Source organism: Homo sapiens, chromosome 16 (assembly GCF_000001405.40).
Source record: "Homo sapiens chromosome 16, GRCh38.p14 Primary Assembly".
Classification (NCBI taxonomy): Eukaryota; Metazoa; Chordata; class Mammalia; order Primates; family Hominidae; genus Homo; species Homo sapiens.
In genome coordinates, this window is record NC_000016.10 from 8,564,945 (window position 1) to 8,583,894 (window position 18,950).

General features: G+C 48.2%; 1 protein-coding gene across 5 annotated transcripts in view, besides 1 other annotated feature; it reads right to left on the bottom strand.

Moving 5' to 3' along the window:
• TMEM114 (transmembrane protein 114) overlaps nt 1–18,950 on the bottom strand; it is a 63,960-nt gene that overhangs the window by 38,393 nt on the left and 6,617 nt on the right. For 2 of the 5 annotated variants that reach the window (NM_001290097.2, NM_001146336.2), the window contains exons 3-4: nt 7,143–7,280; nt 4,556–5,061 (exon numbers count right to left, since the gene is read on the bottom strand). The exons of 2 other annotated variants lie outside the window; for them this stretch is intronic. In NM_001290097.2, coding sequence (NP_001277026.1) covers nt 4,829–5,061; nt 7,143–7,280 — 371 coding nt within the window. In that variant the 3' untranslated portion in view covers nt 4,556–4,828. Of the gene's footprint in view, nt 1–4,555; nt 5,062–7,142; nt 7,281–18,950 lie in introns of those variants that run through there. One more of the 5 variants, NM_001290095.2, reaches the window with a different exon arrangement.
• Nucleotides 17,494–17,553: an enhancer, noted in NCBI's record as "active region_10352". NCBI's record gives its function as "activates an Ori minimal core promoter by ATAC-STARR-seq in GM12878 lymphoblastoid cells {active_cell/tissue: GM12878}" and the evidence as "EXISTENCE:reporter gene assay evidence [ECO:0000049][PMID:35858748]".

Consider the following 18,950-nt stretch of genomic DNA (forward strand, 5'->3'; position numbering starts at 1 on the left):
ATGGGTGAGTGAATGAGTGAGTGAGGGAGTGAAAGAGTGAGTGAGTGAATGAGTAAATAAGTGACTGAGTGAATACATGAGTGAGTGAATGAGTGAGTGAATGAGTGAGTGAGTGAGTGAATGAGTGAGTGAGTGAATGAGTAAATTAATGACTGAGTGAATAAGTGAGTGAGTGAGTGGGTAAGCAAATGGATGGATAATGATGGATGGGTGGATGGATGCATGGATGGATGAGTGAATTGATTAATGGGAAAATGTATGAATAAATGAATAAGTGAGTGAATGAATGAAGCATGGGACAGGTATAAGCAAGTGAACTTATGAATGAACAAAGACTGAATGCGTGCATGAATATATAAATAAGTGAAGCAATGAGTGAGTAAATGAATGGATGGGTGGGTGGCAAGTGAATAAATGAATGAGTGAATAAATGAATGGATCTTCTTTGCCAGATAGAGCGCCTTCTCTGAGAGAAAGAGAGCGGCCAGTTGTTTGCCAGGGGTTCCAGCCAGGTCTGGACCTGAGGGGACAAATCGTGGCTGAGCCTCCCCAGCAAAGGGACACGCGCCGTAGTCCCACTTCCTCCTCCTGTTTACCTTCTCATGAGTATAAATCCCCTCCTCTAACCCCCGGTTAGTCCAGCACACCTGGATCTGACCACACCTCCACCTGCTCCGAGTTCTTTCTCCTCTCATCTGGCCCTGGGAGGCCCCTCCCTGTACTTCCTGCAACCACTCTCACCCCTGCAGGCCGGTCCGTTCACACAACAGACCTAAGGGTCTTAGAGCAGTGGTTCTTACCTCCCCTGCACAGCAGAATCACCTGGGGAACTTTGTGAACATAACAATGCCCAGGTCCGCCCTCGAGGGTCTGATTGCATTTGGCTCCATTGGGGCCCCAGTGCTAGCAACTGGTTGTTTTTTAAATAGGACCCCCACGTGATGCTAATGTAGAGCCAGGGTTGAGAACCACTGTCTTAAAGGCATATCACTCTCAAGAGAGAGTCCAAGTGGAATAAGAAAATAGAAGAGGAGAGGACAAGACAGAATGGAACAGAACAGATCAGAACAAAATGGATCAGAATAGAACAGAACCAATCCAATGGATTAAAATACGGCAGGACAGATCGAAACAGAATGGATCGGGCCAGGCACGGTGGCTCACGCCTGTAATCCCAGCACTTTGGGAGGCCAAGGTAGGTGGATCATGAGCTCAGGAGATCGAGACCATCCTGGCTAACACTGTAAAACCGCATTTCTACTAAAAATACAAAAAATTAGCCAGGCATGGTGCATGGTGGTGCGTGCCTGTAGTCCCAGCTACTGGGGAGGCTGAGGCAGGAGAATCACTTGCACCTGGGAGGCAGAGGTTGGAGTGAGCCGAGATTGAGCCATTGCACCCCAGCCTGGGTGACAGAGCTAGACGCAGTCTCAAAAAAAAAAAAATCAGAATAGAACAGAACAGGTCAGAATAGAATGATGGATCAGAATAGAAGAGAACAGATCAGAATGGATCAGAACACAACAGAATGGATCAGAATAGAACAGATCAGAATGGATCAGAACACAACAGAATGGATCAGAATAGAACAGATCAGAATGGATCAGGATAGAACAGAACAGAACAGAATGGAACAGCATCCCAACCCCACTTAATCATCAGCACCTCCTTACCACGGGCCATGGGCATCGCCCACTGCCTTCTCTCTCCCTGCCTCTACCTTCACCTCCTATTTCTCTCCATCAACCCTCCCTCTTCATTTCCCTCTAACACAGAAGCTTCTTCCCACCTCAGGGCCTTTGCGTCTGCTGTCACCTGCCTGGTCTGCAGTTTCCCTACCTACAGGTTCTTCATGCGGGTCTCAGCACAATGTCACCTCCTCCAAGAAGCCCTTTCTAATTGTCCTTCCTGGAGTCACATCTCTACCAGACACCTTTCATCCCATCACCCTGGTTTTTTTTTTTTTTTTTTTTTGAGATGGAGTCTCACTCTGTCACCCAGGCTGGAGCGCAATGGTGCGATCTCGGCTCACTGTAACCTCCACCTCCTGGGTTCAAGTGATTCTCCTGCCTTAGCCTCCCAAGTAGCTGGGATTACAGGCGCGTGTTACCACAGCTGGCTATTTTTTTTTTTTTTGTATTTTTAGTAGAGATGGGGTTTCACCATGTTGGCCAGGCTAGTTTCGAACTCCTGACCTCAGGTGACCTGCCTGTCTTGGCATCCCAAAGTGCTGGGATTACAGGCATGAGCCATGGCGCCCGGCCTCATCACCCTGTTTTGTTTTCTTCATAACACTAATCACTGTCTGAATCTCTCAGATAGATTATTGGTTCATGGGTTTATCATCTGTTCCCATGTGAGCTAGGAAGGGTGGAGATTTTCTTGGCCACCCCCATGAATGTGTCCCCAGGCCCTGGAACAGTCTCTGACACTGTAGGTATCTGGCAAGCATTTATCAAATGCATGAATGGATGGGCGAATGAATGAGCTTATTCTGTGTTGTCAGTTCCTGAGGTGCACACATGTTTTGGTTTGTTATTGTCCATTATTGCTCGCTTAGCAGAGTGTCTCAGCATGTCCCAAGGTGGACGTGTGGGACCAGATGTCCTGAGCATCATAGGATGCGAGGAGCATCCCTGGCCTCTTCCCACTGGAGCTGCCGGTAATACCACTCCCCACACGCACTAAGAACAACCAAAACTGTCTCCAAACACTGCCAAATGTCAGGTGGGGGAGAGAATCGCCCCAGCTGAGAACTCTGGCCCTGCAGTATTTAATCCAGCACTTGGGCGCTAGGAGGGCTGAAAACGTGTCTCTTGACGAATTTGGGGATCAAATCCTGCCTCTGGAGCAGTTCCACAATACGACCAGCAGGTGGAAGCAGAGACCGCCCTTTCGGTAGCATGGTTGCCCTCACTTTGCAAAAACTTTGTTTTCCCCAGCATTGTAACTGATTTTCCAACAGCGCTCATTTAGCCCCATGTGGCCATGTGAGTAACCCACTCCTTTTGCGCCTTTCCGGATTAGACAGGGACGTCGCAGCAACGTCCTGAAAGGAGCAGACAGCCAGTAAAGAAGTGCAGGCGTTGGTGGAAGTAGGGGGAGGACCATCTTGGGATCAGGCAGTTCTGAAGTTTACTCCCAGTTGCGTCCCTTTCTCTCCTTATGCCCTTAGTCCAGTTATGTTAACCTGCCAGTGCCTCAGTTTCCTCATCTGTACCCTGCTTTGCTTATCTCCTAGTCCTCACCACGGGCTACGTATTTCATATGCCTCTCTCTCCTCAATCATGTGGCACCCCAGAGAGCAAGGTCTGGGTCTGGAGGAGTCATTGCCCCCCCAGTTGCTGGTGTGTACTGGCCTTCCTTTGAGTGTTTGTTGAATGACTGACTGACCGACTGGCGTGGAGAATAGCACAGGTGCATAGATGTGGATGTCAGCTATAATGATGACAATGCTGATGTCATGGTGGTGTCATGTCGTTGTGGTGGTGATGTCATGGCATGGTGGTGATGATGTCATGATGTTTGTTGAATGACTGACTGACCGACTGGCATGGAGAATAGCACAGGTGCATAGAAAGTACTCAGTGGGTGTCAGCTATGATGATGACAGTGTTGACGTCATGGTGATGATGATGTCATGATGAAGACGATGATGCCATATTGTTGATAATCGTGTTGTCATCTTTTAATCCACACCAGTATTCCCCAAACCATCAGCACCTCCCAGAGTTTCCTAAGCCAAAGGCTCCTCGGGCCCTCCCCTACATCTCATGACTTGGAATCTTGCAGGAACAGAATCTCAGCCATGGTTTTGGGTTAGAATAGGCTGGAGAGCTCTTAAAAAACACTGATGCCTGGACACCAGCCCTAGAGAATATCAGATCAAGGATGTAGACAGCAGCAGGATTTTTGGAAGATACCCAGGTGATTCTAAGAGCAGCAAGATGACAACCCTTCTCTGTCACTTAATAAACGCCCCACCTCGGCATTTATGCAAACAGTGGCTCTGGGCCAGAAGCCTCGGCATCGCCTGGAAGCCACTTAGAAATGTGAGTTTTTGGGCTTCACCCAGGCCTCCTGGCTCAGACACCCTGGGGGTGGCATCAGCCCGAGAGTATCAACAAGCCCATAGAGTCTGGGGCGCGCTAAATGTGAACAGCACTGCCCCAGGGGACCCGGATGGGGAGCCCATTCCCAGGGGCAGAACACCAGGATGAAAGGAGGGATGGATTTTTCTGGGGGAGGACGGAAAAGGTATGATTAGTCTTGAAGAGTGCTCTATCAATTGGCCAACCCCTTGGGAGTCTCGCAGCTTCATATTGTAGACCTAACCTGACCCCGTAGAAAGCCCATGTCATGCCAGAGTTATTTTAGAGCAAAAGGAACTCCAGGCCAGAGCTCCCCAGAGAGAGCTGAACGCATTACAGGGCCCAGGAGGTAGGGCACCCTCTCCCTTTCCCAGACCCACCAAGGAGCTGATCCAAGGGACATGGGTGAGGAGGAAATGAAGTCGGAGGGGGCGTGAGGACTTTGCAATCTGTAAAGCTCTGTGTGTGATTAAAGGATCGTTTTTATTTCTCGCGAAGCGGTTTGGCACTCCCTCGGGCTCCTCCAGGCCACACGGACACACACGGACATAAGCACACAGGTACTAGGATAACAGCCAGGCCCCAAGCTTAGTCCGCGGGGATTTGTGGGGGAAGGAGGGGGGTGCCTGGCCTCCCCGAGTGGCCTTTGAGGAAGAAGAGGCCGCAGCCGATGGAGATCGGTCGGTGAAGCTCCGGGGCCAAGCCCCTCCCTCCCCTCCACGACCCAGCGCCCAGGCTCATATGGCCTGGTCCTGCCTCCGTCTCAGGCTGAGCTCGCGGGCTGCTGCCAGGAAGGCTGCCCCGGTGAGCAGCTCGGCGATGAAGCTGATCCAGCCCAGGGCCAGGGACCAGCCGAAGCTGATGTCCACCTGGTCCAGGAGGGCCTTCTCCTCCAAGAGACACAGCGCCTCCCGGAAGGCGGCGGCTGAATACGCTATGTAGACGCTGATCCCAGCGAGGGTCACCATGGCTGCAGGGAGGGCAAAGGGAGAGCAGATCAATCCCCCACCCCGCCCCAGCACTCCCCTCCTCCTCCTCGCCCTGCCCAGCCACGCTGCTCAGCGTCCAGCGTCCTCGCTCCTTCCTGCTGCGGGACCTTTGCGCGTGCTAGTCTCCCCGCTGGGTGCATTCACCCCTGCTTCTCTGCCTGTCATCGGCAACTCCTACCCTTCCCACACATGGCAGCTCACGCTTCGATTCCTGGACTTGCCTGAGCAGTGATTCCACAGCACCATACAGCTGCCCATCACTGCCCAGGTCACAATTGCAACTTTGCATTCTTTTGTGTAATTTTTTTTTAGACAGAGTCTCGCTCTGTCGCCCAGGCTGGAGTGCAGCGGTGCGATCTCAGCTTGCTGCGATCTCAGCTTGCTGCAACCTCCACCTCCCGGGTTCAAGCTATTCTCCTGCCTCAGCCTCCTGAGTAGCTGGGAATACAGATGCCCGCCACCGCGCCCGGCTAATGTTTGTATTTTTAGTAGAGACAGGGTTTCACCATATTGGCCAGACTGGTCTCAAACTCCTGACCTCAAGTGATCCGCCTGTCTCTGCCTCCTAACGTGCTGGGATTGCAGGCATGTTTGTGTAATTATTTAACTAACATCTGTCTCCCCCAGTGGCCTGTGAGTGTCCAGAGGGCAGACATGCTCCTGTTGGTTTTGCTCATTTTCAATTCCCCAGCACCGAGAACGGTGCCTGGCCCACGGTGGTTCTCCACAGATATTAGATTTGAGCCACATGGTCCAGTACGATAGCCACTGACCAGTTACACATGGCTATTTAAATTTAAGTTAACTAATCTAAATGAAGTTAACAGCTCAGTCCCCCATCAGCACTCACTGCCCTGGCCTGGTTTGCAGCTCCCGATGCTCGGCATGGATTAGGGAACTTCTCCACCATCACAGAAACTTCTACCAGGCAGTGCTGGTTTCGAGAATTTGTCACTGGGTGAACTATTAATGCTAATAGTAATAATAATAGTGAGTGGTTAGAGGAGATGAGAACTTTGCAATATTTTCACCTCCAGACATCCCTTTTGTTTTTTTTCCTCTGTGGATTCCAAGGGAGCATGTCATCACTGCTTTTTTTTTTTTTTAAAAGGAACATTTCAAATACACAGGGATACAGACAGCCTTTAAGGCAGCCAGCCACGTGCCAGGTCCCATTTTTCAAAACCTCTGGTCCACTAAACCAACCAGTGGTGTTAACCTAGCCATTGTCTGTCCACCTGTTGTTTTGTTTCATCTTGTTTTTGTGTGTGCTGCTGTTTAATTGACAAGTAAAAATTGTATGTATTTACGGTACACAGCATGAGGATTTGATATGTGTGTGTACACTGTGGAGTGGCTCGGTCAAACTATTCAACACAGGCACGGCCTCACATACTTAGCATTTCTTTTGTGTGTGGTGAGAACTAAAATCTACTCTCAGCGATTTTCAAGAACACAATAGGCTGTTGTTAACTGCTGTCACCATGACGCCCAATAGATCACTGAACTTCCTTCTTTTCAGCTGAAATTGTGTGTTCTTTGACCAACATCTCCCCACCCTCCCCTGCCCCCACCCCCAGCCTGTTCCATTCTCTCTTTCTGTGAATTTGACTCTTCTAGATTCTACATAGAAAGATCATGAGGTGTTTGTCTTTCTGTGCCTGGTCATGCCCGTTTTTTAGTCGATCAAAGCAGTATCTATCAGAATGGCTGATCAGCAGAATAGAGCGAGGGTGGCTGGAGCGAGGGTCTCCTGCCAGCTCACAGCCCTAAAGCTTGAAGCTATCACGAGTTTGGGCAAAGGTAATACATGCGGCTTCTTTGGTGAAGTAATGAAAAGGATTCTTGGAAGCTGCTCCCTCTGCACTGCTCCTGTCTTGGAACCAGAGACTAAGTGATTCTGGGCTGGAAACCACTCATCTCTTCCAACTGATATCCCAGAAGGGGAAACTGAACCCCACGAGGCCCTGGGATCCCCCTCGTTTGCTGAGGGTTCATACACAGTACCCATTGCCCAACCCCCAGACCACAAGCCAGAGCCCTAGGCAGGGTGGGCACCTACCTCCAAAGAGGAAGAGAATTCCAGTGAGCAGGAGGAGGAGGTAGGCTTGGAGGAGGAAGCTCAGAAACCCCGTCATCCCCCCAAAAACCATCAGGATCAGGCTGAGCGGCAGCAGAATCACAAATGTCCCATGCATGGCTTAGAAGAGACAGAGAGGATACCAGGCAGAGGACAGTTACTAACATCCTTCATTCAATCAACAAACACTTCCCGAGCACCTACTAGAGCTGGGGAAAATCCACACTGTCACTGCCCCTACGACGATTACTTCTACTGTTTCTGATGATGATGATGACCATGACAACAGTGGTTGAGGCTCATCTCGTGCAAGGCTGTGTGCTTTGTTCTTGTTGTTTGTTTTGTTTTTGAGACAGGGTCTTGCTCTGTCACTCAGGCTGAAGTACAGTGGCACGACCATGGCTCACTGCAGCCTCAACCTCCTGGGCTTAAGGAAACCTTTCACCTAAGCTGCCCAAGTAGCTGGTACTGCAAGTGTGCACAACCACACCCAGCTAATTTTTTTATTTTTGGTAAAGATGAAGTCTTGATATGTTGCCCAGACTGGTCTCAAACTCCTGGGCCCAAGCGATCCTCCTGCCTTGGCCTCCCAAAGTGCTGGCATTACAGGTGTGAGCCACTGTGCCTGGCCAGAGCTGGTTTCTAACAAGAGAGAAGCCGCAATGCAGATGATCACACGCATCATTAATTATTCATTACAAGAGCCAGGGTGTTAGGAAGAACTTGGGATTGGGGGATGGCTGGCAGTGGTTTGGGCCTTGGCTCTGCCTCCACAGCCGTGGGACCTTAAGAGATCTAAAAACCCCTGTGGTCCTTAGCATGGCATTTTGGGGACAGCACTTGCTGATCATTTGGAAGTTATCCTTCTCCCAAGGCTGGCTTCACTGACTGGAGTGCCGGCCCCGTTCTCTACAAGAACATATTTGTCACCACAAGGAGGAGCCTCATGCAAGCTTTCTGGGTTTTGTTTTGTTTAAAGTTTTTGCCAGCACCTTGATTGCATCATGCAAGCTTTTTGGATGGGAAAAAGCTTTTTGGGGGAGCAGGGACTGTGTGGATGAAGGGCTTTGGGCATTGAGAGAACTAACGGGGACACTGTTAATCTCAGGGCTTGAAGACCACGTGATGTGTGTGATAACCAAAGTGAAGGGAGACATGCTGCCCCCGGGTTGCAGAGCCAAACGGATCCACCTGGAGAACAGTCCCTGCATTGAATGTATTTCTCTTGCCTCCTCTCTAGTAGGATCTGGGGCCATTTCTAGAGAACTCCCAAGCCCAAACAGTCAAAGATAAATAATAATACAACTTGTAAAATCAGCAAGTGGAAAAGACGAATGACAAGAAAGTCAAGACCCATGATGAGGGGTGAATGGAGGAGGAGGAAGTCTAAGGTTTCAGGGTCTATACCTCTGTCACTATTTGACTCTGAGCTTCCCAGCAGCCAAAGAAAAAAGGGAAACAAGTGCAAAGTTTTTTTTTTATCCATCCTTCATTTACCAAATGTGTATTGGTTGTTTACTATGAGCTGGGTGCCAAGCATCTTTAAATCCTTTTGGCAATAGGATAGGTATGAAAATAAATACTTTCCTATCCTTCAGTGCAGGCTAAGCATCATTTGTTCTGGGAAGTCTTTCCTTACACTGCATTCACCACTGTCCACCCAGTCAAGTGCCCTTCCTCTGTGCCCCCTCAGCACCCCATAGGGACAGGCATTTATTACCTAGTGTTGAGGGCATCTGAGTCACTTTTATGTCTCACCTGACAGAACATGAGCTCTTTGGCAAAGAGGATCTTATTTCCCTGTGCACAATTGTATCCCTGAGTTTCTAGCAGAGGTTCTGTTCTGGGACATGGTAAGTGCTGAAGAGATATGTGTTGACAATGTAGTGAATGAATGAGTGAGTGAATGAGTGAATTTTGAGCTAGACAGTGTGGCTCTCAGGCAGGAAACTATGTCAGTTTCTAGGAAATAAGAAAAAAACTGAGGGAGCCCAATAGATGACCTCATGGCGATGAAGAATATAGACGTCAGAGCCGGATTATTTGCACTCTAATTCAGGCTGACTGTGGGGTCCTGGGCATGTCATTTAATTACTCAGAACCTCCATTTCCACTTCTTATGAAATGGAGGTAAAAGTATACGGCTCACAGAATTATCATGAGAATAATACTTGTAAAGATCATTGGGCAACACGGGGCAATGTAGTAAGATGTGCAGTGTTGCGTCCCGTAGAGCAGGCACTAAATAAATCATAACTCTATCAATAATAAAGATGATGGTGATAATCATAACTTGGTCCGTGACCTCCACTCTGACCAAAATGTTTTGCCTTCAGTCCCTCAATTGGCACTAACTTTGGTGAGTCAAGAAAACAAGACTGAACTTCCTCCCAAGGCTGTCCTGTGATAAAATGTGATTACAGGGGATGAGACCTGTGGTCTTTCCTTCTTTCTTTCTTTCTTTCTTTCCTTCCTTCCTTCTTTCTTTCTTTCTTTCTTTCTTTTTCAGGGAAAAGTCTTGGGCAGGGAAGTACCACAGCTCATGCAAAAACCTAGTCCTTTAAAATCCATCCCCCCACACACCATCATCTCAGACTGTGGCCAAGAAAGGAAATCATTTCTCGTTCAGAAATTAATGAGGTTTCCCAGAGTTGGTGCAGCCATGGCAGCCCCATGTGAGTTTCCCAGTCGTGCTGCAAGCTGCCTTGATGTCCACATTCGATTAAACGCCTGGGTAAGAGCAAGCCACCCAGGAGAGAGCTATAAAATCTCCTGCTGAAATTTGGTTTAGCTTTCTTTGTGTGTGTGCCCTATTCTTTGCTACATTTTTTTCCCAGGATTGTGGCTTTGGAACATGAATATTGATTCCAAGTTCTGTTCTACTTAGAAATGCTCCCATCGCTAGCCACATCTCTGAATGCACTTGGGGAAGATAGTCCCCTTTGGAATGTGGATATGATGAAAATAATCATCATCACCAATTTTGTGGGGGCTGGGTTACTTGGGAAGTGGTGGATATGTAGTTTCAGAGTGAGGGGTTACAGTCAAAAGACCACTGAAAAAGAGTCTGTGACATACAAGCTGTGTGACTTTGGACAAATGACTGGACCACTCTGAGCCTCATTGGCAAAATAAGAGTAAAAACACCTGCCCACTGATCTAGAACTTATTAAATTCAGCAAACATATTAAGAGTGTCTGCTGTGAGTCTAGCTCCACACTGAGCACTGGTATGAAGACAAAAATAAATAAGTCGCAGACAGTTCCTCTCTTGCACGCATGTTGACAGAGTACCCGTATGATTGACCATCCAAATCACACTTTTGAGAATCAAACAATCATCAACTGTATTAAATTATCTACCATGACCATAGGTGTCTACAGGGACCAGGCAGGATAAACCAGGACAACTGGTCACCACACTTCTCCGTTTATTGTTTCAGTAAACAATGATGCAACACCTGCCACCTATGCTCACCAGGGTTCCAATGTCAGCCCTATCACTTCCAGCTGAGGGTCTGTAGGCAAGTTACTTTATAACCTTCAAGCCTCAGTTTTCTCATCAGCTAAATGGGAATACTAAGAGTATGCACTTTACAGGATTGTGTACTGAGGAAGAGGTAAAATGGACAAACTTCTTAAAATGGTGCTTGTCACATCATAAACCTAATACAAGTGTTCATTGTTATTGTTTCTCAGCTTGGTATTGGGCTATCTAAATGAAATAATATGCATGAAATCTTGTAAACCTTTTGGTAATGTGGAAAGCCTGTTACAACCAAACACAGATCTCTCAGGCCGGGAGACCTGATTCCCATTCATCAACAAGCCTCTAATGAACTCCTGTGATGGAGAGAAAGAAAGAAACAGTTTCCAGCTTCTGGGAACTGGCATGGCGCTCATAGCTAGACTGCGGTGTTCTGCTGGATATAATCTCTTGGAACTCCGACATCAGACGAGGTCATCTGAGACCACAATACAATGAGACCCAGCAAGGGCACCTCACAGGCTGCCCAAGCAGAGGTGTAAACAAGGTCTCTGTGCCACCCACAAAATATCAAACGCCTCCTTCTCCCAGCTCATATGACTGTCCCTGCTTTCTCAATCACAGCCAGTCTGCCTCCCTATAGATAAGATGGAGATATTTGGTCACAGAATTGTCTCCACTTCCTGATATTACCCAGTCCAGAACAAACCTCCACATCCTCAGACCCTCCAAAGACACCCCATCAAAGCCCGAATCCCGTAAGTCCTTCCTGGCAACCTCTTGCTGAGACACCCCACAGCTCCCCATGGAGTGTGTTCTCCTTTGCTGCACTGAGTAATAAACCCCAACTTGAACTGCAGGGGTGTCCCCACTGGTCTCTGGCTGGAGGGAACTGGCAGGGGCCAGGGGCTCTCCCAGGCACTGGCAAGCGGGAAAGGATATGATGGAGCAGGACAGAGGTGGCAGGAATCAAAGGCCAGCAGGACCTGGAAAATTTCTTCTTTCTTGTGATGTATTCTTGCACATCCCTGAATGCCCAATAACTTGCAACACAGAACCTAGAATGTAGTACATGCTCCCTGTGCAATGGATGGCTGAGTTAATGAATGAGAGCAGGAAGGAAGGAAGGAAGGAAGGAAGGAAGGAAGGAAGGAAGGAAGGAAGGAAGGAAGGAAGGAAATTGAGCATTTACTGAGCATCTAATAGGTGCTTTATTTTGGGATGGGTATTGTAGAGGTACAAAGTTGGATCAGACATAAATCCCACCTCCTTGGAACTTATAATTCAGAAAGGAAGTTCACATGTAGACATAAATTGCTGTAATGTCAGGTGAAAGTGGTGCCTTAAGAGACTCAGACAGCCATGTGTCAATTCAGAGATGCCAGGCTAAGTCCACATGATCATAGACCTTCCATTTGAGGCAGTAAATTTTAAAGGAAAGCATGGAGTATTTAGAGTCAGACCTGAGCGTGGTTCTTACTAGCCATGTGACTTCAGAGGAGCTGCCTCAATGAGCTTCAATTTTCTCATTTGAAAAATGGAACTGGACCATATTCATCTTGACATGAGGACCATAGCAGATGACTTGGGCTCAAGCCCTCAACGAAAGCCACTTCCCTTCCCTCTACTCTGCAGATCTAATTGGCCCTTTCCTTCTCCCACAGCCCCTGCAGCTGTGAAAGGTGTCTGCCTTTAACAGCTAGAGAGGGATGATGTGGGGACAGCTACTGCGCTGGACTCAAAAGCAAACTTCCTGAACCTTGGATTTCCACCTCAGTTCTGTCATTCCCTGTTGATGTTCTTGGGAGAGAAGGATCTTGGGTCTGAGGCCAGCCAGACACTCTTACTCACCATGTGACCTTAGGTAAGTCCCTTCACCTCTGTGAGCCCTCATTTCCTCATTTGTAAAAAATATTTAAGACCTAAGACCTCCCTGCAGGGTTGTTTTCCTGATTGGCAATGTTTTCTTTTTTCTTTTTTGATTTTGTTTTTTGTTTTTTGTTTTTTTTTTGAGATTGAGTCTCGCTCTGTCACCCAGGCTGGAATGCAATGGTGCCATCTCAGATCACTGCAACCTCCACTTCCTGGGTTCAAGCAATTCTCCTGTCTCAGCCTCCTGAGGAGCTGGGACTATAGGCGCCCGCCATCCCTCCTGGCGAATTTTTGTATTTTTTTTAGTAGAGACGGCATTTCACCATATTGGTCAGGCTGCTCTTGAACTCCTGACCTCAAGTGATCCACCCACCCTGGCCTCCCAAAGTGCGGAGATTACAGGCATGCCACCGGCAGTGTTTTCAAAAGCACTGAACTCAATCCTGAGCGCATGCATTCATTCAGAAACAAATGCCTTTGGGTCCCCAGTGAGGGCCAAGCCCTGTCCTAGGGCCTGGGGACACCTCATCGAACAAGGCCACTGCCCTCATGGAGTTCACAGATGGGCACAGGAGACAGAGTAGACAGGAAGCAAGGAAACAAAGATCATTGCAGGCTGTGACGTGTCACAGAGGAAATAAGTGTGAGGATGCAGAAAAATAGGTGGGCAGTGGCGGTGGGGGGGCCTTGTTCTTAGATCAGGTGGTGGTATGTATTTCCTGTGGCCACTGTAACACATGAAGGCAAACTGGGTGGCTTCCAAGCAACAGGAATTTAGTCTCTTACAGTTCTGGAGGCCAGAAGTACAAAATCAAGATATCAATGGGACTGTGTTCCCTTTGATGGTTCTAGGGGAGAATCCTTCCCCGCCTCTCTTATGTCCTGGGAGCCGTTGGCAATCTGTGATGCTCCCTGGCTTGTGGCTATGTCACTCCAATCCCTACCTCCATCCACACGTGGCCACCTTCTCCCCTTCTCATAAGGACATTTGTCATAGGATTTAGGGCCCACCAAGTTAGTCCAAGATTATCTCATCTCGAGAGTCTGAATTACACCTGCAAAGATGCTCTTTCTGAATAAGTCACATTCGCAGGTACTGGGGCTTAGTACATGAGCATATCTTTTTAGGAGTGACACCATCCACACAGTACCACGTCTTGGATGGCATACAGTAGGAACTCAATAGATGATACCTGTGGTTATTACACGGAATTACTAGTAATATTAAAATGTTGGCTGGGTGTGGTGGCCCACACCTGTAATCCCGGCACTTTGAGAGGCTGAGACAGGTGGATCACCTGAGGTTAGAAGTTCAAAACTAGCCTGGGCAACATGGTGAAACCCCGTCTCTACTAAAAACACAAAAATTAGCTGGGCTTGGTGGCACAGGCCTCTAATCCCTGCTACTTGGGAGGCTGAGGCAGGAGAATCGCTTGAACCTGGGAGGCGGAGGTCACAGTGAGCTGAGATTGTGCCACTGCACTCTAGCCTGGGTGACAGGGTGAGACTCCATCTCAAAAAAATAAAATAAAATAAAATATTGGCAGGCCATTGTTTCATCAATGGTAAACGTGTGTGCCCCAGTGCAGAGATATTTTAGACGCAAAAATGCTTTGCTACAAGTCAAGGGAAAAGCAACCCCAGAAAGAAGCAAAGATGTTCACACCAAAAACAAACAGAAAAAGTGTTTGTGACTGCTTCATTATCATGCTGTTCAAAGAGCTGCTCAGTGGGGAAAGCAGTCTTCCATGATGCTTGTGAGGTCAGGAAGCCCCGAGCGGTCAATGCTCTTACGCAGAGCAGGGGATGTCTCTTACCCCAGGAACATCAAAAGCTCTGGCAAAAGAAGAAGGTCCCAGGATCCACTTACTACAAGGAAGAAATTTCACCACCTTTATTTCCTAACCTTGTCAGTGTGACTTTGAGACTTCTGGAAGAGCTCAGAGCTATGCAGCCCTGTTATGCCTGGTAAGGCAGTAGCTTTTAAAATTTTATATATATATATATGTGTGTCCTTGAGTCTGTCCTGGAGGATGGGGGCTGCCTCTTCATGGTCTCCAAGAGGTATTGTTAGGATATGGAAAGAGCAGGAGTCTCCGAGCAAAGACGTGGGTTCAAATCCTGACTCCGCCTCTTACCCAAGCAAACCACATCATCGCTCAAAAGCCTCGTTTTCGTCACCTGTCAATTGGACTCTGACCTTGCAGAGTTGTGGGCACTGAATATGAGAATACTTGTCTCTTTCTCATCATCAACTTAGACTGTACCAGGTGGGAGTTTTTAATTCCCATTTCACAGGTGGGAAAATTGAGGTTCAAGGAACTTATATCAACTACCCCAAGAGCCAATGGCCATGAAGTGTCAGAGCTGGAATGAGATTACAAAAGAAGTGGACAAAGGGGTCGTGGGACTGCAGACATGGACACGTACTCCAGCTTGAGAAGTTAAAGCCTTCCTGAGTGGGGAGAGGTCTCAGCTGAGACCTGGAGGCGAGACAGTGAGGCGTTAACTGGGCTGAGAAGTAGGAGAGGGATTCCCAAAAGTGGGGACAGAAAATGCCAACATCCAGAAGTAGGAGACACCCAAAGTAGCAATACCTCAGCTCTTGCAGCTGGAGAGGTGAGCCAGGGTCACAAATAGCCCCACAAGCCACACTAATGAGAAATCCAACCACAGAGGCAGCCCTCTTGGAGCTTGCTTTACATCAACACATGATAACATTCTTCTTAGAAAAAATTAAAACAAGGCCCGGCACGATGCATGCCTGTAATCCCAGCACTTAGGGAGGCCAAGGCAGGCAGATCACTCGAGGCCAGGAGTTTGAGATCAGCGTGGCCAACATGGCGAAAACCCGTCTCTACTAAAAATACAAAAATTAGCTGGACGTGGTGATGTGCACCTCTAATCCCAGCTACTCGGGAGGCTGAGGCAGGAGAATCACTTGAACCTGGGAGGCGGAGGCTGCAGTGAGGCGAGATCACACCACTGCACTCCATCCTGGGCGACAGAGAGTGACTCCATCTCAAAAGAGGTAAAAAAAAAAAAAAAGAAAAAAAAAGGAAACAAGACCCTCTTGGCCACCCCAAGCCCTGTGTCTTCCTCTCCTTTCCAGAGTGACCCTCTGTAAATGACTCAGTGTGCATCTTCCCAGTTTTTGTCCATATATTTATAATTTTTCTATATATTCACATATTCCTCAAATTCTACAATGCACACTTGATTATACTTTTTTTGTTGTTTGTTTTTGAGATAGGGTCTCACTCTGACACCCAGGCTGAAGTGCCGTGGGCCTTATCTCGGCTCACTGCAACCTCCATTTCCCAGGCTCAAGCAACCCCCGACTTCAGCCTCCCAAGTAGCTGGGACCACAGGCGCATGCCACCACGTCCGGCTAATTTTTTGTATTCTTGGTAGAGACAGCGTTTCACCATGTTGCCCAGACTGGTCTAGAACTCCTGAGCTCAAGTGATCCACCTGCCTCGGCCTCCCAAAGTGCTGGGATTACAGGCGTGAGCCACCATGCCCAGCCTTTATCATACTTTAACAGATCTGAAAATAGAGTATGTTTGACCATCCACAGCACCCCACAATCATAATTGGCAGTATATTTGTCTATCTTAATGGCACATAAGGTAAACGTGCATCTTAAAATTTTGTTATATACCCACAGAAAAGGTGTAATATTGGGGAGTTTCTTTGAGGGGGGATAATAAATGACATCCTGCTGCCCATAACACTCTGTAACTTGCTTTCTTCATTCCACAGTACATCTTAATATATTCTTTTTATAGGCTATGTAATATTAACACTAATATGCATTAGTATATTCTTTTTACAGGCTATATAATATTCCACAACATGAATATACACCTATAAATGTCTAGCCATCTCTCCATCTGTGGGCAGTGAGGCTATACAGACCTTGTTTTTCACTGTTTCAAACTGGTATGGTGAACTTTTTAGAAGACTCACATGGCCGATACTAAGAAGTGGACTTGTGTGTGTGTGAGAGACAGGGTCCCACTCTATTGCCCAGGCTGGAGTGCAATGGTGTGATCTCGGCCCACTGAAACCTCTGCCTCTTGAGCTCAAGCAATTCCCGTGCCTCAGCCTCCCAAGTAGCTGGGACTACAGGCGCATGCCACCACACCTGGCTAATTTTTGTATTTTTAGTAGAGACAGGGATTTGCCATGTTGGCCAGGCTGCTCTCAAACTCCTGACCTCAAGTGATCCGCCCACCTTGGCCTCCCAAATTGCTGGGATTACAGGTGTGCGCCACTGCGCCCAGCCAGAAGTGGACTTACTTTAAATTTGAACTTTTGTTAGTTTAAAATGTGGCCTTTATTTTTTAATGGGCACCTCAGAAAGGCAGCCTGAAGCTCAGGCCCTTGTGCCCAGAGGATTGAAGATCCACAGGCACCTGCTCCTTCCCTGACTGCCTGCAGCACAGCTATGCATAAATCACACTGAGAGTTCCTCCCTCCTGGGCTCAGGCAGCCTCTTCAAGCATTTATGTCCCCATCCTTGCTCTGTCCCTCACCTCCTCCACTCTTGCAATTTGCACCAGGCATCGTGGGTGGGCTGGTTTTAATTGTCCATGTCACTGCAACAGCCCAGCACCCAGAAAAACTGGAAATCCAATCTTGTGATTTTTCCAACCTCGCCTCCTCAGAGGACAGCGTGGCCAGACCACTTCCTCTCAGTTCAGCTTCCACCGCGGGCATGCTGTGTTGGACAAGGCATTTGACCTCTCTGGGTCTGTTGTCCTCATCTGACCAGCCTGGCCTCTCTTATGGGCTCTTAGGAGACACAGCTGAGGTAAGACATAGAAAAAAAAAACAGGAAGTGCTCTGAAGAAGCATTTTCCACACCACCCTCCAGAAACACCAGCCTTCCTGCTATTTCTGGAACATACCAAGCTCAGTCCTGCCTCATGGCTCTGAACCTGCTGTTCTGTCTCGTAATGCAGGTCTCTGGTTTCCTGTCTGAAAGAGGCAATGTTGGATAGCAGGACTCTGAACCCCAGAAACAGGCTAGGAGCTCCTCTGGTCTACCATGACCTCTAATCTTAATATACACACATCACACTGAAACTATACTCAGAGTTGCATTGCTTCAATGGAGTAGAAACAAACTGCTGAGTAGGCTGGGTGCAGTGGTTCATGCCTGTAATCCCAGCACTTTGGGAGGCCGAGGCGGGTGGATCACTTGAGGTCAAGAGTTCGAGACCAGCCTGGCCAACATGGTGAATCCCCATCTCTACTAAAAATACAAAAATGATCTGGGCATGGTGGTGCACACCTGTGGTCCCAGCTACTCAGAAGGCTGAGGCAGGAGGCTCAGGAGAATTGCTTGAACCCAGGAGGTGGAAGCTGCAGTGATCTCAGATCTCAGCACTACACTCCAGCCTGGGCAACAGAGTGAGACAAGAAAAGAGAAAGGAAGGGCAGGGAAGAGCAGGGAAGGGCAGGGAAGGGCAGGGAAAGGCAGGGAAAGGCAGGGAAAGGAAGGAAAAGGAAAGGAAACTGCTAGGGTTCAAATCCTAGAAGTTCTAGTTACTGTGCAAACTTAGATATCATACCTGACTTCTCTATGTCTCCATTGCCTCATCTGCAAAGTGAGGATGATAATAATAGTGCCTCTTGGGCTGTTGTGAAGATTAAATGAGTAGATACAAGTCAAGAGCTCAGAATGGTGTCCAGCACACAGCAACTGTCTCATCATGTTCTACACCAGGCAGCTGGCCCAGTACTGGGGATGAAATCAATATGTACTGAGCAAATAAGTGCATCTGGTGGGTCTGCGATGATTAGCTCTATTTCATAGATGAAAAGCTTGAGGCTCAGGAAGGCAATGTGAATTAGAGCAGGAAGAGGAGGCAATAAGTGAGCTCCTACTGTGCACAGAGTCCAGGGCTGGCTGCTTTGTTTATGTGATCTCATTTCATCTTAGAACAGCCCATTTGTGGATGCAGGTGACTCATCAGAAGTCACACAGCTGGCCGAGCACAGTGGTTCAGGCCTGTTATCCCAGCACTTTGGGAGGCCAAGGCAGGAGGGTCGCTTGAGCCCAGGAGTTTCAGACCAGCCTGGGCAGAATAGTAAGACCCCCATCTCTACAAAAAATAATACAAAATTAGTTGGGTGTAATGGTGCACATCTGTGGTCCCAGCTACTTGGGAGGCTGAGGCAGGAGAATTGCTTGAGCCTGGGAGTTCGAGGCTGCAGTGAGCTATGATTGTGCTACTACACTGCAGCCTGGGCAACAGAGCAAGACCATGTCTCAAAAAAAAAAAAAGTCACACAGCTAGCAAGAAGGCCAGGGTTTGAACCCCAGTGATGTAGGCGCGTGTGGGTTTTGCCTGCCCCTACACCTGATGACAGCACCTTGAGCTGCCTGTGATCATGTGACCAATCCTCCCCACCTTCCCA